Below are 24,245 nucleotides of genomic sequence, written 5' to 3' on the forward strand. Positions count from 1 at the left end.
CACATCTGTAATCCCTTTTCCCTTTTCAAGGGATCGCTGGTAAATCTCCCAAACGAGGCGCCAGAGAGCTCTATTGTGTGCCTCTTGGCTCTTTCGGGCTCCCAACAGCGCGTCTTCCTCTCAAGCATAATTGAAGGCAGCCTCACAGTGCCTTTGAAAACTGCATATGAGGCGAGGAGAGAGAGAACATCCTTGCAGCACAAACCCATGATGAAAGCTTTTGTGAATTTGTGCTCTGGCCAACTATGGACGGGCTACCCGATACACAATATCGATGGCATTTAACACTTGGTAGGCAGGTTAAGGAAAAGTACTCCATAAAGTGCATTAAATAACCTCATAATCACATTTAAAGGCTAAGTGAACTGGGGCCACCGCAAGTACTAAAATACATGATAACAAAAGCAGTCAGCATTTTCCATACCATATGCTTATAAATGTTATTCTGCAGGGAACCAATTAAAACTATGGAATACTTAGAGCACAGACATATGGAACAAAACAGGGCAACTTATCTTGTCACTGCAGTGCTTGCTCAGTACATCTCTTCGGGAGATGTAATACTGAATCATTAGTACAAATAAATGTGATCTTAATCATGAATACCAAAAGGCCACACCAGCACTTAAAGCTTTGGCTTTGGTGGCTCCATTATTGAGGGTTTTAAAAGGAAGGAGAACTGACTGTCTCCCAAAGAGTCACATAAAATACCAGCCATATTAAATATTCAAAAAATATCATTAGTACAGCAAATTTTTAATGAGGCTAAGTCTCTGTTTCCTCACCTGTTACACTGGAAAACAATAATAATGATATCCTGTGAAATTCAGAGGGTTGCTGGTCAAACCATTTAAAAAGTGCACATGAAAGCATGTTGGGGAGTCTAATGCTCTGAATTGGTGTCAGTATTGATTTTGTTACCGATGGAAAGAAGACATGCAGATAACCCAAAAGAAGCAATTATCAAGGCTGATTCTGACAGCCATTAAGTTAAAACTCTAGATGGAGCTTTACTAAGTTGTCTTGACATTAAAAAGAAATGAAAACTTAAAAAAAAATCTGAGATATATTCATAGGTCAGTCTAATAGGAAAAAGACAGTGGACATTTTCCATCCCATCGCTCGAGCTTCATTTGGTATTGCTGCTTAATTTAGAATTAACATTTAAAGGAACCAGACATAAATTTTAATAAGATGGTTCACAAACCTAACAGAAATAATGCTAGGAAATACAGGCTCAAGCATCGCCTCAGAACCAGAGCATGAGAGAAAAATAAAGGAAGAAATTTCTTAAAAGGGTAGAATGAGTTTGCAGCAGACAAAGTATATTAATTATCATGAGATGAGATCAAAAGTGGGCTGAGGTAGTGCTGTAGTGCAGGGGACTACATTAATTAATAATGAGTCAACAATAAAATGTCAGTAACAAATTATAAAACAATAATTTTACTTGCATACAACCTATTTTCTTGTCAATGATCTTTCTGCTATAATCTGCCTCCAAAAATCTATACTTCTGAGGCCTTTTTTTCCAAGCTTTTCTCCCGCTACACACACCCCAGTGTGTTTCAACCATACAGACAGCACCTGTATTCCAGGTCCCAATCTCACACACTTTTCAACCCCCAAGCCTTTGCACCAGCACCTCCCTCTACCTAGACGTCCCTTCCCCATTGTCTGCCCAGAGAACTGTGACTCTTCTTTCAAAACTCTGCTCAAATATCACTTTTTTCTGTGAAATCTACACTGACCTCCCCACCCATACCACCTTCAATACTCTTCAGTACTGGAGATTTCTGGGTTGTAAATAGATGTTATCATATCTATTTGTCCCAAACTGTGAGCAACTTGAGGGCTAGCTCTGTGTTTTTTGTTTGTTTGTTTGTTTGTTTTTTGAGACAATCTTGCTCTGTCGCCCAGGCTGGAGTGCAGCGGCATGATCTCGGCTCACTGCAACCTCCGCCTCCCAGGTTCAAGTGATTCTCCTGCCTCAGCCTCCCGAGTAGCTGGGACTACAGACACGTGCCACCATGCCCGGCCAATTTTTGTATTTTTAGTAGAGACGGGGTTTCACCATATTGGCCAGGCTGGTCTCAAACTCCTGACCTTGTGATCTGCCCGCCTTGGCCTCCCAAAGTGCTGGGATTACAACTGTGAGCCACCATGCCCAGCCGGCTCTGTGTTTTAGCCACCTGTGTGAGTCCAAAGTCTCAAGATGTTCTCTGCACATAGTAAATAGTGACTCAATAAATGTTTATAATAGAATGAATAGGGAATGTGGGCACAGAGGTTCTCTCAACACCCAAGTCATACCACTGCTATCCATCCTTTCTTCCTATCTATGTCCCTTTGACACGTATCTCAAACTTGGGAGAACATCAAAATCATAGGGTGGGTGCAGAAGGCACCAAGAATAACTGTTAAAAACACATAGCCCTGGTCCCATTCTGCTATGTTCTTATCAGGTAGATCTGGAGTGGGGCCCAGTTATCTGTGTTTTGAACAAGCTCCCCAGGTGAATGCAATACGCACAAACATTTAAGAATCATGGCTCTATGGCATACTAGTAGTAGAAATTCCTATTTCCTGTGAGGTAGAGAAAATCATCTCTACAAATCTGCTTGCAAAATCTGTTTCAAGAAAAATGAAGCAACTAGACACAGAGGAACCGTCTTGGATTTTAGAAGAAAACCATTTAAGTAGATAGATGGAAATAAAAATACACAATGAATAAGCAGAACTCAAAATTTCTCTGGATTTGACTCAAGTGAATTACAGAGAATTGTCGAAGCAAGGAATAGCATGTTCTGCTTGGAACACTTCCTGTTTTTCTGCAAGGAAAAGCATTCCATGTCCATGACCCACAATGCTAGAGGCACTGAGGGTTCCTCCTGCTCACAATACTGACCCTTTTTGGGGGCCAGATTCCCCTGGACTTTTCAGAAATTTTCCAAGGCAGGCAATGGGTGATATTGATTCCATGGAGGCACCTACATAAACAAATAGATTTAAAATTTTCTCTTTCTTTCCCTTGACCTATTCCCTCTTTCTGTGCTACTCGGGGCTCCTCCCTCCCACCTAGACATACCTATTACACTTGGTGGCGTTTTTGGGTGGGAATGAGGCCCAACACTGTCCCACCATTTTTAGTGGAATCAACAAAGAGATCATCAGCACCTGCCAGTCATTCTAACTCTTCTGTTTCTAATACCGCTGCTAGCCAAATAAGCTACTTCCCACACTAGTTTTAAAATAACCATTGGATCTTGGAAGTGACTTAAACCCAAGAGGAAATTTTATATATAATTACCCCAGTGCCTGCCATCTCTAGAATTACAGTGACTCTAGAGAAATGCTAATCAAACTGCATTACATGAGATATTTTTAAGCATGGAATATAATACAGGTTGACACATCTGAAAGAAAGTTGTCTCCTCAGGATACCATAAGACACATAAAGCTTTCTGGAAAAGAGGCAGGAGACATAGGATACTGAGCCCAACTCTACTGCTAACTAGCAGTGAGTCTTTGATCTAGATATATGTGTCTTCTCAGCCTCATATCTTCATCTCTAAAATAATGAGACTGGACCAAATGATCATTAAGATTCCCTTCAAGCTTTAATGCTCTAGAACAAGTCTACAAAAGAACATGGGTATAGAAGAGGTATCCCAGGAAGATGTGCATTTTAAAAGAGGACCTATACATTTTTCATTAAAAAAAAAAAATTCAGACCTGGCGCGGTGCCTCATGCCTGTAATCCCAGCACTTTGGTAGGCCAAGACAGACAGATTGTCTAAGCTCAGGAGTTCGAGACCAGCCTGGGCAACATGGCGAAACCCCATCTCTACTAAAAATACAAAAAATTAGCCGGGTGTGGTGGCAGTCACCTGTAGTCCCAGCTAATCGGGAGGCTTGCTTGAACCCAGGAGGCGGAGGTTGCAGTGAGCCAAAATTGTGCCACTTGACTCCAGCCTGGGTGACAGAGTGAGACCCTGTCTCAATTAAAACACACACACACACACACACAAAGGAACAGCTTTCTAATGGTAGAATTTCATGAATTGCTGCACTCAAGACTCTGAGGTGTCCTTCTAGGAACCCCTCCAATCAGACTACCCAAAAGTGATCCCCCCAGCTGCTGAATATCTCTTGAGGTTTGTTTGATTAATACATAAGAAATACTGAGACATTAGAGTACAGTAATCAAGCATCGGTGAATGAATAATCTGCCATTTGAAGAAGGAAAATTTTCTCTGGGTTATAAATAATGCACAGTTAAATGTTTTTACAGGGGCAGGCAACTGCTACCTTTTATAATATCACTTCCAGCCACTAGGGCTTAGAGAGAATACCTGTTTAGTGGACAGATTTGCTCAAGACAGAACATAAAAACTACTTAGGTATAGTGTAAGATACACCATGACCCTAAGCGGTAGAGATGCGGAATCTGGACTTAGCAGGAAGTGGGGATTTAGCAGTGGTAGTGTTATCAATAGATTCCAGAGCTGATCAAGCAAGGCAGAGGTAGGAATCAATAGCTGCATCAGCAAGATGCTGCAGGTCCTGCTGATTTCTCAGAAATTGTGTTCTGCAGAAGACAGGTCAGCACTATGGTGAATCAGATAGTCCTTGAGGCCACTGCAGAGTCAAGGTATTGATGACTCTGGGCACAAGAATGCAGGCTGACCCCAAGGACAGGACAGCCAGTTAGAGAACCAAGCATTCTCTTTGAAGATGGCCAAAGAGAAGGAAAAGGGAAGAGCAGGTGGAAGAGTCCACTCTTAAAGCTCATGGACATGTTCCAAGGTGGGAATTCTTTGTAGGCAGGGAGGGTGTCATGAGCAAGAAGGTGAACCACAGTGCTGTTATGAAGAAGCGATTGCCCTCTTGGCTTCATTTTTCTCATCTAGAGTCAGGTCGCTTCTATCTGTGCAATGAAAAGTTGCTTAGAGAGGACCACAGAAGACCCACTGTCCAGAGAGCTCTTGAATCCTTAGAGAGAAGCTCTGTTGACTATTCACTAAGAGATGTGGGCTAGATCACCAACTTCAGAAAACTTAGAGTTCAGTAAAGATTTCTGAGGAGGGGTAAGAATATTACGTAGTCTTTAGAGATTTTCTTCCTTTATGATCTGTAAAATCTGCAAGGACAAGGTATTCATTCTCCTGGGTTAATTGGTTTTGTGGCAGGTACCATTAGGATTAGAGCATTTCTTAAGCTGTCTTCTAAAACTTAAAAAAATCCTACTACTTTGTCCTGACAACCCCCACCTACTCACCCAAAAGCAATCTGAATTACAAGGAATTACTCTTATTTTAAAGTGTATATTATTAAATACATAATTATACAAAGACTTCCCTTCTAGTCCTTTCCATCACCAAACTGTTTTACCAGCAAACAAAATTAGGAGTTAGAAAGTATTTTTTTGTTTTGTTTTCCACTTGAACTAATGATAAAATCTTACATTGGAATAGCTTTACAGAATATACTAACCAAATCCATAGCTTTTACCCCAGTCGACCCTCACAACCATGATGAAAAGTGAGTCAGGAAGCCTGTGCATAGGAAAGCATTTTCCAAAGTGTGTTCCAGTGAGCACTAGTAAACAGTTTGAAAGATATTGAGTTTAACAATGTTTAAACACATGGCCACATCACAGGCCCTCTCAGATGCTTCATGTTAGTTCACTGTAAATCTCCACGTGTATGTGGTCTGTATGAGAGAGACAGAGAAAGAAAACAGACAGAAAGAGATGTTTTGCAAACTTATTTGATCATAAAACCATTTTTCCATTGCATATCTTATGTAATACATGTTGGGGCCATCTGCACACCCCGATTTTGTTAAGACACAATGAATGTCTACAGCAAACTTTTAGCTATGCTATACTCAACAACATTTGACAAATGTTTACTCAACATCAGTGAACAAATATTTACTGAACACCACAGCAGATATAAAGCAAACCAGGAGATATTAGCAAAATAGATTAAAACCTCTGCTTTTATGTAGCTTATATTCTAATGAGGAACAAGGAAATAAACTAAATAAATGAAATGTGTAACATATCAAATAGAGATGAATATTAAGAAGAAAAAAATAACAGGGAAAAGTAATTGTGTGTGTGTGTGTCTTGGAAAGGGAACAATATTTTCAATAAGGTGACCAAAGAAGCCTCCTTGGAATGATAGTTAAGTAAGGCCCCAAAGGAAGTGCGGGAGGGTTTGTTGCACATTTGGAAGAGAAGCATTCTCAGCAAAGGGTACAGCAAAGACCCTGAGGTGGAGGTATATCAAAAAAGAAGATCTGAAATCTGATTAACACAAGGCCCCGTTTTTTATTTCCACTGTAAAGATTACTCAGTTCTGTAAGAAAGAGGCCTGTCATATATATATATATATATATATATATTTTTTTTTTTTTTTTTTTTTTTTTTTTGAGACGGAGTCTCACTCTGCCACCCAGGCTGGAGTGCAGTGGTGCAATCTCGACTCACTGCAAGCTCCGCCTCTGGTGTTCATGCCATTCTCCTGCCTCAGCCTCCCGAGTAGCTGGGACTACAGGCACGCGCCACCACGCCCGGCTAATTGTTTGTATTTTTAATAGAGACAGAGTTTCACCGTGTTAGCCAGGATGGTCTCGATCTCCTGACCTTGTGATCCGCCCTCCTCGGCCTCCCAAAGTGCTGGGATTACAGGCGTGAGCCACCATGCCTGGCCAGAGGCCTGTCATTTTTTAAAGCCATCCATGTTTTAAGTACACATAATTCACAATTCCTGTACTTCACTGTGAGGAATCAAAGTCCTTCATTTGTGGTCCTCAGACCGCAGGGGGGTCCCTGGGTAACTTTGAGAAGGTCTGTGAAGTCAAATCTATTTTCATGAAAATTAGAAGACACTATTTGCCTTTTTTGCTGTGTAGACATTTGTACTGATGGCTTTTTTGCTGGGTAGACGTCTGCACAAAAGCAGTGGTGAGTAAAACTGCCAGAGCCTTAATCTATCAAATTATGCTAGTAGTCACTGTACTCTTCACAGCTGTGACCTCACAGGACCAAAATTGCTAGTTTCACTTGTGAATTTCCTCAATGAAACATTAAAAAATAAATTAATTTAATTAAATCCCAAACCTTGAGTACACACATATTTTTTAATACTCTGTGATCAAATGGGAAGTACGCATAAAGCATGTCTTTTGCATTTTGAAGACGAAGCATTATCTAGAAGTAAAAGCAATTGTGCGATTATTTGAATTGTGAGCTGAACTAGCTGCTGCTCACTAAGATGTATTTGTTTTGGAAAATATAGTTATTTTAAATAAAATGTTATTTTGTTAACATGAAACATGTTTATGTTATTTTTAACAAATTAAAAAATAAATAATTTTTTCCCATTTTTCATTTCTAATATGGTAAATATTGATAAATATAACACACACAAATAGAAGCTCTGGGACATCCTTGTTAATTTTTTTTTTTTTTTTTTTGAGACGGAGTCTCGCTCTATCGCCCAGGCTGGAGTGCAGTTGTGTGGTCTAGACTCACTGCAACCTCCACCTCCCTCCCCCTGGGTTCAAGCGATTTTTCTTCTTCAGCCTCCCAAGTACCTGGGACTACAGGCGTGCGCCACCATACCCAGCTAATTTTTGTATTTTTAGTAGAGACAGGGTTTCACCATATTGGCCAGGCTGGTCTCGAACTCCTGACCTCGTGATCCACCCGCCTTGGCCTCCCAAAGTGCTGTGATTACAGGCGTGAGCCACCGAGCCTGGCTTCCTCATTAATTTTTAAGAGTGGAAAGGGATCTAAGACCAAAACGTTTGAGAAGCACTATACTAATAAAATAATAAAAATGCCATGCATGGGGTTGTTTATGAGTATATATGAGTAAGTACACACATATATATGTTATTTTTAATTGAAGTGAAATTTACATAACATAAAATTAACCATTTTAAAGTGAACAATTCAATGGAATTTAGTCCATTCACAATATTGGACAACTACCACTCTATCTACTTCTTAAACATTTTTATCATCCAAAAAGACACCCTATACATATTCTCCATTGCCCCAGCAACCACCAATTTACAATCCGTCTCTATAGATTTGCCTTTTCTGGACATTTCTTTTTTTTTTTTTTTCCCCAAGATGGAGTCTCACTCTGTCACCCAGGCTGGAGTGCAGTGGCACGATCTTGGCTCACTGCAACCTCCACCTCCCAGGTTCAAGTGATTCTCCTGCCTCAGCCTCCCGAGTAGCTGGGACTACAGGCATGCACCACCATCCCCAGCTATTTTTTTGTATTTTTAGTAGAGACGAGGTTTCACTACATCGGCCAGGCTGGTCTTGAACTCCTGACCTCGTGATCTGCCCGCCTCGGCCTCCCAAAGTGCTGGGATTACAGGTGTGAGCCACCGCACCTGGCCCTTTTCTGGGCATTTCATATAAAAGGAATTATACAATATGTAATCTTTCATGACTGGCTTCTTTCACTTTGCATAATGTTTTTGAGGTTCAGCAACATTGTACCATGTATCAGTATTTAATTTAATATATTTATTTTTAATTTATTAATCTTCACCTATTCTTTCAAGGGTAAATGTGATTTCTGGTAAGAAAAATCTCTCTAATCTAATGTGGATATATGAGTATGTGTTTATAAGGTAATATTTTTCTCAAAGCATACATAGTATATTTACAGATTTCGTGTACAAATTTATTTTTGATTATAGGGTAAGTCCATGAAAAAATTATGAGGCAACTCCCCCAAATACTAAGGTAAACATTCACCTCATATATGATGATTATAATTACCATTCTCATCACCAAGCATGTAAAGTGCTTAGCTGTAAATGGTAGGAAATATTATTCATTTTGTAACATTTCCTAATAAAATATGTGTTTGCACACTGTATTAGGCCGTTCTTGCATTGCTATGAAAAAACACTTGAGACTGGTAAAGAAGTTTAATTGGCTCACATTTCTGCAGGCTGTACAGGAAGCATGATGCTGGCATCTGCTCAGCTTCCAGGGAGGCCTCAGGAAATTTCTAATCAAGGTGGAAGGCAAGGTGGGTGGAAAGAAAGCGGGGAGCAAAGCGTCTCACATGGTGGGAACAGGAGCAAGAGAGAGAGAGGGGAGGTGCTACAGACTTTAAAAGGACCAAATCTCATGAGAACACACTCACTATCACAGGAGCCGTACCAGGGGATGGTACTAAACCATTCATGAGAAATCTGCCCCCATGATCCAATCACTTCCCACCAGGCACCCCCTCCAACAATGGGGATTACAATTCCACACGAAATTGGTGGGGACACATATCCAAACCAGGTCACGCATGGAGGTAATTTTTGTTTACTTGGGGTTTTTGGTTTAGAGGAAATGAGTAGTTTGGTACAGTGGGAGATAAAAATAATTTAGAGGCAGGAGGGCTGCAACCAAGCCCAGAGCTGCTCTTTATTAGGTATAGTACTTTCAGCAGCTCACTTCCTCTTTCAGGCCTCAGTTTTCTTTCTTTCAGGCCTCAATTTTCTCAACTAGGTGGTTGCCTTTCCAAGCTTTTGTATACGTGACTCCATTTACCAAGAATCATTCACATACCATCTTTGTGGTTTTTGCCCTGGCCATAGATCCCCTGTATTATTTGCTCACATTTTAGTTGACTCACTTTTACATATAGCAAAATTGTTTCACAAAAACTACATTGTCACTATTAAATACAGAAAGCCAGTGTCAGTTGCAAATAGAAAAAACCTCGAGTCGTCCAAGAATCCATCTTACTCCCCACAGTAAAAAAACATCGCACCTTTCGGGTTCAACCTTGAACAACCACTTTCATGAATTAATAAGCTGAGGGATTGATTACTTCTAGAAGTTAAGATTCATTATTTGTTCTCTCTACCTTGGAAAAGCTGGTAGAAATGTCTGCAGCTTTGGATACCAAACTAACCATGTAGCACTTAGCAGAGCTTTGGGATAACAGATAAGTGACATTTAGCCTGGGGCTTGTTTTGAACAGGAGAAACTGGGTAAATTCAGGAAGCACAAAATTCTCCAAATAGTTACAATATGGCTCCTGAGTAGTTCAAACAATGGTACCACATTTCCATTATACTGCCTCTTGGACTCTTTGTAATGAGAGGAATTTCAGACACAAGGAGGCACTTGACTGACGCCTGACTCCCTTTTTCTTGGGTGCAGACGTTATTCCAGGAAAATGCATCATCTTCTCTACTACTTATACTGTGGAGATTTGCAAACTGACAAAAGTGGCCCCACCCTTTATCTGTGCCCCTTCCATGTGACGTTGTTGCTCCTCTCATCAAGAGAAGTCTCTTTCTCCATCCCTTGAATCTAGACTTGCCTTGTGACTTGCTTTGGCCAATGGATGGGAGAGTGGCTCATAGAGTGTCTAAGAAAATTAAAACAGTATATGAGACATGCTTAGCCCAGTGCCTGGCACATAGTAAGTCCTGGTTAAATGGTAGCAATTATCACTGAGAGTGTGTATGCAATAAACAGCAAAGACTAGGAATGCCTTGTCTGTTCCAGGGGCTTTGGTCTCATGTTTGTTTCCCTCTCCCTTCTCTCCTCTCTCCATTTGCCTATTCTGGTTGGGCCCAGATGTAACCAGTTGATGGTTTATCCTGCTGAAAGGCTTGCACAAAGCACACTTGGGTTATAGTTCCTAAGGAAGTGGTGATTAACTGTTCCATCCCTGGTTTCACTGCAACCCAAATAACCCCACCCTAGAGCTAAGGAAATTTACAACATAATCGGGTGGGGGCTCGTTTAATCTAAAATATCCCTTCTGGGTAAATTTAAACCCACACTGAAGAACTAGAAAAATAGCCACAGTGTACTGAGCGTCATTGGCTAAGTGCTTCAAATGCATTTAATCTTCACAACAAACTTCTGAACCCCAAATATGGATTGTATACTATCCTCGTATTTTAACAGATGAGAAAACTAAGACTTGGAGATGTAAATAATATGTCTGATTGACTAAGACTTAGAGATTAAATCATATGCCTTATTGGCCTAATAAACCAAGGACTTTATGTGCACAGTGCTGCAAGAAAAATACATAAGAACTGATTCTTGTTCCCCAACTTTCCACTGCCAGTGATCTCTTTCATTTTCTCCTTTCTCTGTGGACTCCATGTCTTAAAAGTTTTTATTTCCCATTGAACGGCATTACTAGTTTTAAAATATTAAAATGGATCCCTGCATGGGAGATCTCAAAATCCTGGAGTCCCTAGTTTGGAACAGTTGAACTAACACTGCCTCCTTGTTTTGCAATTAAAGAAACAGGATTCCAGAAAAGGCCAGTTATTTGCTAAGGTAACACAGCTCCTACTTAGAAAGGAAAGCACTAAAGCCCACCTCTCATTATTCCCTGGAGCCATTACTTTTTCCATGACATATTTCTGCTTCTGGAACATGGCACCAGCCACAGGGACAATTTGGAACCTAACCACCAGTAAGAGGAAACAGAAACAGAATCACTGAAGAGGTGTGTCTGGTTTTCACAGCGGCCAATCTGTGTGTGCCACACCTTTCACCATAGAGGTTATTTACCCAAAGGGAAGGAGTAAGGAGCTCCCCACTTTGAAACCATGCAGAATAAAGGGGGAAAAAAATCAAATACATTTTTAAAGATAGATGAACTCCAAAGCAGATTTAAAATATGTGTAAAACTCATTCACATATTACTTGACTAGGCGGCTTCATATGAAGACATAATGGTGTGTGCTGAGAGGGACACCAAACTAGGCCATTCTTCCTTTCAATTTAGGGTTTGTTTTATAAGATGACATAATGCCTTCTAGCTTGGTGCTATAAAGGCTGAAAAAGTGAAAGAAAGTTTCATGCAATAAATGAGACAAGGTGAATTTGAGAGTCAGGTGAGATCTTGCCCAGGGAAAATTGGGGCTCAAGATCTCTCACCCCATTCCTAGGCACCCACTAAGTCCTGATTACCTGGGTCTACCAGGACAGCTGAAAGGAAATAGGAAAGGGGAAGGAAAACAACCATTAATGTCTACAGAGCATCTACTTCCTACATGATAAACAGTGGACTAGGATTTAGAAGAAATGAACAGACTTACTCTTCAGAGCGGCAACCCCCGGTGACAGGCTGACTGTGTCAAAGGGCAGCAAAGTACGATGGCTATGCATGTAGACTTTGGAGTTCGACTGCTTGGGTTCAAAACCTGACTCCACCCCTTCCTGCCTTTGTGAGTATAGCTAGTTACTCACCCCTCTCTACCTCAGTTTCCCCATGTGCAAAATGGGGATAACAGTACCTACCAAATAGGGCTTTTATGAAAATAAAATTATTTAGTGAATTTTTTTTTTATTATACTTTAAGTTTTAGGGTAAAGAATCTATGCAATGCGGCCGGGTGCGGCGGTTTACGCCTATAATCCCAGCACTTTGGGAGGCCAAGGTGGCCAGATCACGAGGTCAAGAGATCAAGACCATCCTGGCCAACATGGCGAAACCCCGTCTCTACTAAAAATACAAAAAAAAAAAAATTAGCTGGGCATGGTGGCACACACCTGTAGTCCCAGCTACTTGGGAGGCTGAGTCAGGAGAATCGCTTGAACCCAGGAGGCGGAGGTTGCAGTGACCTGAGATCGTGCCACTGCACTCCAGCCTGGCGACAGAGCGAGACTCCGTCTAAATTAAAAAAAAAAAAAAAAGAACTTATGCAATGCTCTTACACGTGATCATGATGAATAAATATTACATAGCATTACATTTATGAATAAACCAAGACCCAAAGAGGTTAAGGAACATACCCAAGTTCACACAGCTGAGAAGTAACTGAACTTGACATTCTAATTCCACGACCCTTGTTCTTTTCCTTTCACCTTAAGGCTCTCAGGCTCAGCTGATGGGATGTGAAACAAAAACAGTTGTCAGGCCAGAAGCCTCATTATGTTCACTAGTAAACACCCCACACAGCAGTAACCTGCATAGCTTTACCCATTTCTACCAGGACTTGTCCCTTGAAGCCAAGCCACTGACTTCCGGACAGAAGCCTGGAGGCCTCTCCTTTCTGCCCTTGCTTGGAATTTCCCAGCAAACCACACAACTTCCCCACCCAAACAAGCCCCAAATGCACTGTGTTCACCTAATAAACCAAGAACTTTATGTAACATATTTTAAAGGATTTTCACTCCACACAATGACTGAAGCGGGTGAACACACAACCTAAAAATTAATGTCTTTAAGAGAAATTGTGGCTAGTTTTTTCAAGAGGCCAGAAATTTAAGCCCCTACTTTCTGGGTTAATTTTGGTTTTATTTATTTATCTTAATAAATACATTTTTAACTCAGGAACATAAATCTGATTATCTATTGACTCTAAAACTGGTGGTTTGGGGATTCCCAATATGTTTTCCAGGGGTTGAGATATCACAGTAGTAGAAATCATCCTCATCATTAGAGCACTCACTCAAAAATTCTGATTATGTGCCAGACATAGTCTAAGAGCTTTACATATGCTGTCTAACTTTATCTTCAGAATCCCTTATGAAGGAGCGTCTTTTGTTAGTCCCAATTTATATTTCTTATATTGGGAAGAAACTAAAGCACAGAGAATTTAAAAGATCTTCCAGGCAGTCATATTCCATAAATGCTTCCCTGGTGACCTAAAGGAATTCACCTAGCTTCCCCAAACTCCTAACTTGGGACATAGATGCAGCCTGAAGTCATCCCAAATGAAAACAACCCCTGCTCAACCCTCATCTGAAGGCATAAGAGATGACTAAATAGCTACTGGAGATTTTCATTAATTGAAACTGTCCCCCAAATCTCCTATTTTTTAAGGTTTTTAATTGGTCACAATCTACCCATTGATATGGCCATCAACAGAATACAAGTGTGGTTCTGTTCAGTGTCCACCAGATGGTGAATGCTAGCTCTCACCACGTAGCAGATTGCAATATTACTTCTAATTATTAACTTTCCTTCCTGTAAATGACAATAATCCGTCCCTGCACGGTGCCATAAAACTTTCAGTGCCTGCCCATGGGCAGAGTATACTTCCCACCCCACTGCTATTGGGCTTGGCCATGTAACTTGCTTGCTGTGGCTGATGAAGAGAAAGTGGAAGTGGCTCATTCCATTTCTGAGCAGAAGCTTTAAGAACGATTACTGGAGCCTACCAACTCCCTAACTCTCTTCTTCTACCCATGAGAGCAGCATATCCCAGACAGCTGTTGCTCCTTTTGCCTACATTCCAGAATGCAGAAGGCACTTGGAGCCACAGCTAACCCTCAGCAACTTGTAACATGAGCAGGAAATAGACCTTTAATGCTGAAAGCCACCGACATTGGGGATTTTTGCTACCACGGCATAACCTAGTGAAAGACAGTTGATAAAGAACCGCACCTAAAATGATTCCTAAAACCTCTATGATGCCTGCTGACCATCCCCAAGCTAAACAAAGTTCCACAAACCACTCCGGGCTCCCCACTATGTTAAGAGAAACAGAATTCTGTGTTAAGGGAAAAGGAATAGAAAAGCACAAAAGGGCAGTAGGAAATGAAGCATGAACCAAAAACACATCAGAGAAGCACAGTGACTAAGCAACAGCCATGAACAAAGGAAGAAAGGCATGAATAATAAAGGAGGACCATAAATAACTAAGCACCACATGGAACCACGCACCACTAACAATAGGGCCGGTGGGGACAAGAAAGCAAACGCGAAGGCCATCCAGTCACAAGGACTTCTGGGAAGATGGCATCAAATAAAGAGAAGAAACATTTTAAATAATTTAGATATGGCTGGGCACGGTGGCTCACGCCTGTAATCCCAGCACCTTGGGAGGCCAAGGCAGGCAGATCACAGGGTCAAGAGATCAAGACCATCCTGGCCAACATGGTGAAACCTTGTCTTTACTAAAAATACAAAAATTAGCTGGGCGTGGTGGCGCAGGCCTGTAATCCCAGCTACTCAGGAGTCTGAGGCAGGAGAATTGCTTGAACCCGAGAGGTGGAGGTTGCAGTGAGCCGAGGTCGCACCACTGCACTTCAGCCTGGGTGACAGAGTGAGACTCCATCTCAATAATAATAATAATAACTATTATTATTATTATTATTTAGATAAAGAGAGAAAGAGACCAAAAGGTGTTGAGGGGAACTGTGAATGGTTTTGTCTTAAAAGAAAGAAAAGTTTCATTCCAACATTAAGTTTTCTGTAGGGCGAGTGGTGTGCTTTCCTCCTCCTGAGATCATTCAAAGAGCTCAGTCAGAAGCTCTGCACTCCCTAAAAGACTGCCAGTTCCTTCAGTTCTCTTCTACTTCTCCCTCCAGCCTGTTAATGTTTTTTGTTGTTGTTGTTGTTTTTGAGACGGAGTCGCGCTCTGTCACACAGGCTGAAGTGCAGTGGCATGATCTCCACTCACTTCAACCTCCGCCTCCCAGGTTCAAGCGATTCTCCTGCCTCAGCCTCTCAAGTAGCTGGAATTACAGGCATGTGTCACCACACCCAGCTAGTTTTTGTGTTTTTAGTAGAGACGGGGTTTCACCATGTTGGCCAGGCTGGTCTTGAACTCCTGAACTCCTGACCTCAGGTGATCCACCCACCTCAGCCTCCCAAAGTGCTGGGATTTCAGGCATGACCCCACCGTGCCCGGTCGTTTTAACGTATTTATGGTCCTTCCTTGCTGCCAGGCACTGTGAAGTCACAAGGCCCTGTGTTTTGTATGAGAAAAGCATAAGGGATATGAAGAAATTTTAATACATATTAGAAATATGTATTGCATGCAGGGCCTGTTTTATGGGTCATTAGAACCCATGGCTCTCTGCATGGTGGCGTGACTGCAGATTTTTTTTTTTGAGACAGAGTTTAGGCTGGAGTGCAGTGGTATGATCTTGGCTCACTACAACCTCGACCTCCTAGGCTCAAGCAATCCTCTTGCCTCAGCCCCCCAAGTAGCTGAGACTACAGGTGCACACCACTAAGCCCAGCTACTTTTTGATTTTTAGTAGAAACGAGGTCTCGCTAAGTTGACCTGGCTGGTCTCAAACTCCTGTGCTCCAGTGATCTTCCCGCCTCAGCCTCCCGAAGTGTTGGGATTACAGGTGTGACCCACCTCGTCTGGCCAAAAAGATTCTTTTTTCCTCCCAAACCAATGATCTTACCTGAAATACAGTAGCAACAGACGCGGCACATCAGGCGTCTCACCACAATGTGATTGCAGCAAGGCCACACCTCCTCGGGGGGAAGCATGCCACTTCCACTGCAGGGCACCTTCTCCCAGCTGTGCAGCCCCCTCAGATTCTAATGCACCGCTCCTGCCTCCTGGCTCATCAATGCTCTGGACACTCACTACTCAGATTTGTGGGCTCTGGGGGACAGCAGCATTGCCATCTCCTGAGAGCCTGTTAGAAGTGCAAAATCCCGGGTTCTACCCCAAAGTGTACTGAATCAGAGTCCGCCTTTCAGCGAGATTCCCAGGTGACTCCAATAGGCATTAAAGTTTAAAGAGCGCTGCCGGAATGACCACTCTTCCTGAAGTAAGTATATTATGTCCCTGCAGTCTGTTGAAGTGGAAATATAAGCTAAGACTCTCAGGAATGGCATACCAGAAATTTAGCTCCAACATTCATTAGTTGTGTTCCCTAGAGCAAGTTACTTGACCTCTTTGAGCCTCAGTTTCCAGCTCTGCAAACTGGGCATAATGATGCCTGTCTCAGAGGATGACGGTGAAGGTCAAATAACATATGTAGCTGCACAGAAAACACTGATAGATGTTAACTCCCTGGCATGCTGACCAAGAGCAGGCTATGCTGAAGGGGGAGTGATAAGGATAAGAAGTGGTGTAAAGATATTTTGAGGAAATGGGGACAGGAGAGGAGACCCAGCATGGGATACCAGTCATGGTGAGATACTAGCTTAATTTGACTGCTCTTATCTGGCCCTCAATGCTTTCTGCTCTGTCTTTAAAATAAAGCAGAAGTATATTCAGAAAGGAGTTGGACAACTAAAAATTGGGGCATGCAAGGATTTACTTCCAGGACCCCCTGCCCCACAGCATGCTAATTATTTAGCAGGTGTGCACGATTTAACAACTATGCAGATCACATCAGTCTCTCAGAGTCAGTGATTCCACTCCCACCCAACATTTACAAGGAAATATCATCCCAAGTCTACTTCCCTCGGCATATACCGAAGCCTCCCAACACGGGGTCTGTAAAGGAATTATCATACTGTACACAAATCATCCAATTAGACAACAGACTTCTCTAAAAAAAAAATCATATTAAGTTTTCAGGGCAAGTATCAACCCAAAATTCTCACCAATACAGAATTACAAGTCCAAACTAACCTTGACTTCCAGCTGCCTAGATTTTCTTTCAATTATGTTTGCGGTTTTCTTTATTCACCAGCGTGAATTAATCAAATGCTTAAGAAAGATTGGAAAACACAGGCAACCCAGGACCACTCACCAGAGGCCAATGCATCTGATGCATCTTCATCTTTGCGCATATTGGCTTTAGCAATCATGTTGCCTTTGTCATGCTATGGTGATACAAAAGATTGGTAGGGAGATCTATGTGCTTCTTAGAGTTTTGAAAGAGCGGAATTTAGCTTCAGTGATATCAAACTGCACTAAACGAAAATTACTCCCCATTGCATCAGTGTGGGATGCATTTAGGCTTTTGGGCAGTTAATGAATATGATCCAAATGAAGAAACAGCTGAGAATGAGGAGGTTGGAAGAGAGAATTTGACAGAATTACACCTGCTCTGTAGCAGGGAAAGAGTTGATGTTATAGGCAATTAAACTTCTTTCCCACATTACAGAGAACTCTCAGCTGAAATGACTATAAGTGACATCCAGTCACCTGTTGTCCCATTACAGGCATGTCAGGTGATGCCCACAGGCCCTCCAGAGACCCTGCCTCTCAGGTGCCTTCTTTCCATTACAGGTGACACTTAGTCTCCAGAGCCTGTTGGGCTCAGCATGTTTCCACCAGTGACACATTCATTAATCTCACAGTTGCATACTGTACATCAGAGTCCATCACACGAAACTCCAAAGCTTGATGCGTATGTTTTCCTGTGTCAAAGAAAAGCGGCATCAGGATGAATAGATTTCACCGTTGAATAGCCTCCTCTCAGAAAAGTGCCCTGTATTTTCACTCGGACATTTTCTTTTATGTAGATGAATCCAAACCACTATGCTCTCAATGAGACCTTCAAACTATCTTTTGAAAACACAGATCAATTTTTCTTCGCACAGATGCTGGGAATTAGAAGACAGAGAATCTACGCCCACCTCTGCCACTTACTGGCTGTGTGTCTCTGGGCAAGGCTGGACTTAACCTCTCTGGCCTTGTTCTTTTCATTTGTGACATAAATATAATAACATGAACCCTCCTCAAGGTTAATCAAATGAGATCAAGTAGGTGACAACAGTTATGAAGGGCAACACTGTGCTCCGAGTGACCACACCGAGCAGAGCAGCAATAGCTTTACTGTTCCATAAGGCTCAATCTTTTTGAAATAATTGAGAGAGGAAGTGAAAAGACAAAGAGAAAGTAGCCCCCCCAGCCAGATTCTACCTACTGGTCTCATTAGCAGAGTTGTAACTGGTGTGGCACAGTTTCTGTTACGCTTGTCTCAACTCAGCAGGCAGGCCACTTCAGGTTATTTGCTCAGATCCACAATGTATACCATCAGGACACCATTCTCCCTCATACTGCACAAATTCTCTAACGTGTCGGGGTGTAGACTTCAGGGTCAAGAGACCTCAAATCTATGTCTGACTCTGTCACAATGTACTGTGGGACTAGTTAACCTCTCTGAGTCTTGAAATTTGGGAAGAGTTCACCCAGAAGTCAATTTAAAAAGATGTATAAAGAAGCTTAAGAATATTAATATCTTTTTCCCTAATCATTGCATACTGGAAAGCCAGTTTAAAGACATAATTCTAAACAGGAGAAAATGTTTTTATGTGCAAAGATGTTTGTCGTAGTAATTAACAATAGCAAAAAGGAGGGACAATGAAAAGGTTTAACCTCAGTAGGTCTTCTTTATTAAACTGTGCTCCATTATTTAAGATGTTGATTTTGAATACTATGTAATAACTTAGGAAAATAATAAATAATGTTAAGTAAAATAAAAATTGGGGTTGCAAGATATACAAATATCTTAAGTCCTGTGCACAAGGAAGAAAGACTGAGAAAACTACTTGCCAAACTATCACGAAAGGTCATGCTTCAATGAAAGTGGGTGATTTTATTTTTAGTTTTAATTTTTTCTTTTTATGGGTAATTTTTCAGCTTTCCTCTATTTGCCAAATATACCTTATTGCTTGTTTATTATTTTACAAAGAAACTGAGCCTGAAATATAATATGAGGAAACTGAAATAGATGTCTAAAGTCATCTGTTTCAATGCTAAAAATCTGTGATTAGGCTGGGCACAGTGGCTCACACCTCTAATTTCAACATTTTGAGAGGCCTAGGCAGAAGGATCACTTGAGATCCTTCATGACAAAGAACATGACAAAAGTTCGAGACGAGCCTGGGCAACATAATGAGACCTTGTCTCTACAAAATAAAAAACAAAACGTTAGCCAAGGCTTGGTGGCACATGCCTGTAGTCGTAGCTACTTGGGAGGCTGAGGTGGGAGCATCGCTTGAGCCTACAAGTTCAAGGGTTCAGTGAGCCATGATCTTGCCACTGCACTCCAGCCTGCGTAACAGAAGGAGACCCTGGTTCTAAAAACAAAACAAACAACAATAACAAAAAACCCCTATGATTCTATAGTAGTTTCCAGTGTAAAGGTCTGTGATTCTATAATTGTTAAAATAACTCACAGTTACACAACGAGAAATCGTAAATAAAAGATGATGGCCACAGAATGCTGTACTTAAACACAAGGAACCCTGATGGCTGTTTTCCACAGCCCTCCCTGAAGTGATGGGTCAGAGTGTACCCAGGGTGACATGGTGATCAGGGTGGCTGAATATAAATCCTGCTGAAAGCAGAAGTCCAACAAAGGGGCCAATTGTAACAAGTGTGGCTCAGTGTTTATGAGATTCATCAGAGCCATCTACGTAAATGCCAGCCTATGAAACCCTTTGTGTATGAATTGATTTGTACAGAGATGTTGCGCTTGGTCAGGAGGCTATTTTGGCATGAAAGAATTCCACAGAAGTGAGAAATGCATTTGTTCCCCATAAGGCTCAAAGTGATCTAATGGCTTAGAGGGATAATGAATTTTTCAAAACATTTTAAAAGCCAGCTCTGGGATGGCATTTTGATCTGCATCCACCACAGTGAGTTTATGTCTGGGTTTTCTGGAGACTGGAGCCAAGAGTAATGACACTTCAGGCCACGGTCCAGGGGTATCAGCCAAGTGGCAAGCACATGATCAGTCACAGGGCCACGAAAATTGCTTTGCTTCATGGATGGCTTTATTTTAGGGTCTTGCAAAGCAGATTCATAATTAAACAATAGAAGAAAGATTCACCTAGGGAATAAAATGTCTCCCTCTTGTTTATCTTTTTCTGTGACCTATATACATTTCTTAAGACCATGCTTGCAATTTGCCCACCATCTAAAGAGAAAAAACGAGTTCTCTCAATGATCTTGGTAAACACTCAAAAGATAAAACAAAACCTGAATCAAAGTTGTAAATTAATCCACAAGAATCGGCTAAAAGACTGCCCACCCTTCCTTGCAAGAATCCAGTCCTCCAAAAGGAAGCAGCTCCAGAAGTCTCTTTATACTGTAGCCAATGAAGGATGAGAGAATCATACCCCATAGTTTGACCAGGAGGTGTCGCATGAAAAACAAACCAGCTTGCTAAGGGCCAAGGGACATATTTAACTGTAAAGAATCAAGAATGGGGGACAGAACGGGATTTGCCCCTTCTTGCCTCCTTGGAGAGAGGACCAGGGACACTGCCTTCTCAGGGAGCAGCCAGGCACGTGTCCTGTCCTCTCAGACATACCCGTGGCAGGGAGCAGCTGATCTGTCCACATGCTGTGACATTTCTATCTTCTCAGAGCCAGGTGCCGGTCTGGCCAGCACCACTGACCACTTGTTACAGAAAATGTGTCTGAGGAATGTAAAGAGGATCAAAATGCTTCTGCCTCCAGGATGATCTTCTGCCTCTGCTGTTGCTGGAGAGGAGGAAGCCAACATGCACTTTTCTCTTTTTGCACCCTTTCATTAATTTTCTGCAGCAAAAAAAAAAAAAAAGGACCAGCCAGGTACGGTGGCTCACACCTGTAATCCCAGCACTTTGGGAGGCTGAGGTGGGTGGATCACCTGAGGTCAGGAGTTCGAGATCAGCCTGTCCAACATGATGAAACCCCGTCTCTGCTAAAGACACGCACACAAAAATTAGCTGGGCGTGATGGCGCTTGCCTGTAATCCCAGCTACTCAGGAGGTTGAGGCAGGAGAATCTCTTGAACCAGGGAGGTAGAGGTTGCAGTGAGCCAAGATGGCTCCATTGCACTCCAGCCTAGCAACAGAGCAAGACTCCGTCTCAAAAAATAAAAAAAAGGGACCTTAATGAATGGGCTTCCTTAAGAGGGAGAAAAAAAAAGCCACTCATCCTAAAAGTCCTGTTTTTTCAACTGAGGGGAAGAAATAATTTCCATGGGTGGAAACTCTTCCATAAGAACCTTTCAAAGAATTGCAAGGCCATCAGCAGTCTTCTGGTCCCTCACGGGCTTTTCTCAGGGACCTTATTTTATACCTCTGTGGTCATTGCTGTGCCTCCTCTGGAGTCAAGAACCAGATTTAGTTCTCCACTGAGAATGGGAGTGGGGCGCCAGGCTGCTCACATCTTGTACGTGCTGAGGCCTATTTATGCCTCCCCACATCAGACTCACATTTTTGCACCATCACCTTCCATCCTGACTCATGATCACTTGTTATAAACCATGACGTTTCACATATCTGGCTACACTCAAGAACAAGGTCTCCTATGCAAGAGGCTTTGTCAGACAACCGAAGCCTACCCTGCAAGCCACAACTTCTTTTCTATTTTTTTCTATGTTAATTATCTGAGTGGGAAATTTTTCTGAAATCGCTTATGCACCACACCTTTCTTCTTAAACAGGACACTAAATTTAAATGATCTTTTCCCCCTGATTCTTTAGGGTCATTACTATGAGCATCAGATATGTACTTTATGTCAGTGATGTTATGTCTGCCAAGGGCTGTGCAGATATTTGGGATTATTTACCTGACACCAAATGGAATGACACTTACTGGGGGCCCAGATCTGCCTCTATTTTATTTATTTATTTATTTATTTTTGAGACAGAGTCTAGCTCTGTCACCCAGGCTGGAGTGCAGTGGCACCATCTTGGCTCACTGCAACCTCTGCCTCCCGGGTTCAAGTGATTCTCCTGCCTCAGCCTCCTGAGTAGCTGGGACTACAGGTGTGTGCCACCACTAATTTTTGTATTTTTAGTAGAGATGGGGTTTCACCATGTTGGTCAGGCTGGTCTTGAATTCCTGGCCTCAAGATCTGCCCACCTCTGCCTCCCAAAGTGCTGGGATTATTGGCATGAGCCACCACGCCTGCCATCAGGTCTGCTTCTTATAGGTCCTGTTTGATTTTGGTTTTGTTTGTGTAGTTTCCCCATCGTAAGTCATCATCTATTACAGCCTCTGGCAGCCACCTCCCTTTCCATCATCCCCTTCTGAGAAAACAAGGTTGGTGAACACTGTGTCAAAGTGCACATTAAATAATAACCTCAATGATGGTAGCTAGCATTCATGTGTTTTGCTATGCTCCCAGCATTTCTGTGAATGATTTACAAGTATCATCTCGCAAATAGCCTCAGAGATTGCACTTAGGGAATTTTCCTGTGAGAAAAGAACTAACTGATGATAGGTTTTCAATAATCAACTTTAGTTGCCTTTGCCCAATTCCTAGTTTTGGGGTAACTTTGGGTTGGCTGATGTGCCAGGGAAGTGACCGTGGACATAAGAACTGTTGCACTTACAACGCATCCTGTCCTGAATTGTGGAAGGATGTTCATACTTGCTTCCTTCTTGAATCCTTTCATCGCTTTCTTTTCTCCTATTTCCCCTCCAATTCTGCCTCCACCTTCCTTCTTTCCTTTCTTCCCCTTTCCTTCACTTCTGTGTGTATCGTGAGCATAATCAACAGTTTTCTGGGGCGCTGCTAAACCAGCAGACTGGAGAGCCAAAGTGGACTTGACACAACCGAGAGCTGTGTTCTAACCCTGGATCTTCTCCTGCCTAGACCCCCTGACATCGGTCAATCCATCAAAGTGGTATTTAAGGCCACCAATAAGAGAGTGGCAACAGTGAAGAAACTACAAAACCAAATAACCTTGGTGGCAAATAAGAGGCATTTAAACTCTTTTAAAAATGCATTCTTGTTCTTAACATTTCACCAAATGATGCCCATAACATTTCTAATTACTCTAAAAGCTAATCACACACATTCTCCTCCCAATCGTTTATCAGTTAATTTTCTTTCAAATGGGCATGCAGTGAGAACAATCTCACAATGTATTCAACCAAATCTCAGATGGCCTAACACCATGTTTTTCTCATAGCAGGATTTCAGTAACATTGGTTGATATTCTGTTGTCCAAAAGATTTTAACATAAAACAAGCAACACAGAAGAATGAACCCCTCTTGGGTCAGCGTGAACAATATATGTGCAATTTCACTAACTTACCACTCAGCCCTCCTATAAACTTGTCAAGCTGTTCACTTTTAATTTAACAAGAATGAAATGTTCCAGGAGATCTTGGGGGAAGAGGTGCTTATGGTATGAGGAAGAAGGTCCTAGAATTGAAGTCAGGTGATCCGGAAGCAAACTCCAGCTCTACTCTTTGTGGCTATGCAACCTTAGGCAAACCTCTTTTTTTTTTTTTTTTTTTTTTTTTTTTTTTTTTTTTGAGATGGAGTCTCGCTCTGTCATCCAGTCTGGAAGGAGTGCAGAGGCATGATCTCGGCTCACTGCAACCTCCACCTCCCTGGTTCAAGCAATTCCCCTGCCTCAGCCTCCCAAGTAGCTGGGATTATAGATGCACACCACCACGCCCAGTTAATTTTTTTGTATTTTTAGTAGAGATGGGGTTTCACCGTGTTGGCTGGACTGGTCTGGAACTCCTGACCTCAGGCAATCTGCCTGCCTGGGACTTCCAAAGTGCTAGGATTACAGGCATGAGCCACTGCACCTGGCCTGGGCAAACCTCTTAACCTC

The 24,245-nt window shown here is 42.0% G+C and overlaps 1 protein-coding gene across 34 annotated transcripts in view, besides 1 other annotated feature; it reads right to left on the reverse strand.

Annotated features, from left to right (window-relative positions):
• PRUNE2 (prune homolog 2 with BCH domain) overlaps window positions 1–24,245 on the reverse strand; it is a 294,739-nt gene that overhangs the window by 262,115 nt on the left and 8,379 nt on the right. Inside the window, exon 2 of one of the 34 annotated variants that reach the window (XM_047422885.1) lies at window positions 12,814–12,905. The exons of the other annotated variants lie outside the window; for them this stretch is intronic. The gene's annotated coding sequence lies outside the window, so the exon portion shown is untranslated. The remainder of the gene's footprint in view (window positions 1–12,813; window positions 12,906–24,245) is intronic. 34 annotated transcript variants of the gene reach the window in all.
• Window positions 14,273–14,869: an enhancer, noted in NCBI's record as "OCT4-NANOG-H3K27ac hESC enhancer chr9:79502679-79503275 (GRCh37/hg19 assembly coordinates)". NCBI's record gives its function as "activates a minimal SCP1, AML or CMV promoter by ChIP-STARR-seq in naive H9 embryonic stem cells {active_cell/tissue: H9 hESC(naive)}" and the evidence as "EXISTENCE:reporter gene assay evidence [ECO:0000049][PMID:30033119]".

The sequence above is a fragment of the Homo sapiens genome, chromosome 9 (genome assembly GCF_000001405.40).
Source record: "Homo sapiens chromosome 9, GRCh38.p14 Primary Assembly".
NCBI lineage: Eukaryota > Metazoa > Chordata > Mammalia > Primates > Hominidae > Homo > Homo sapiens.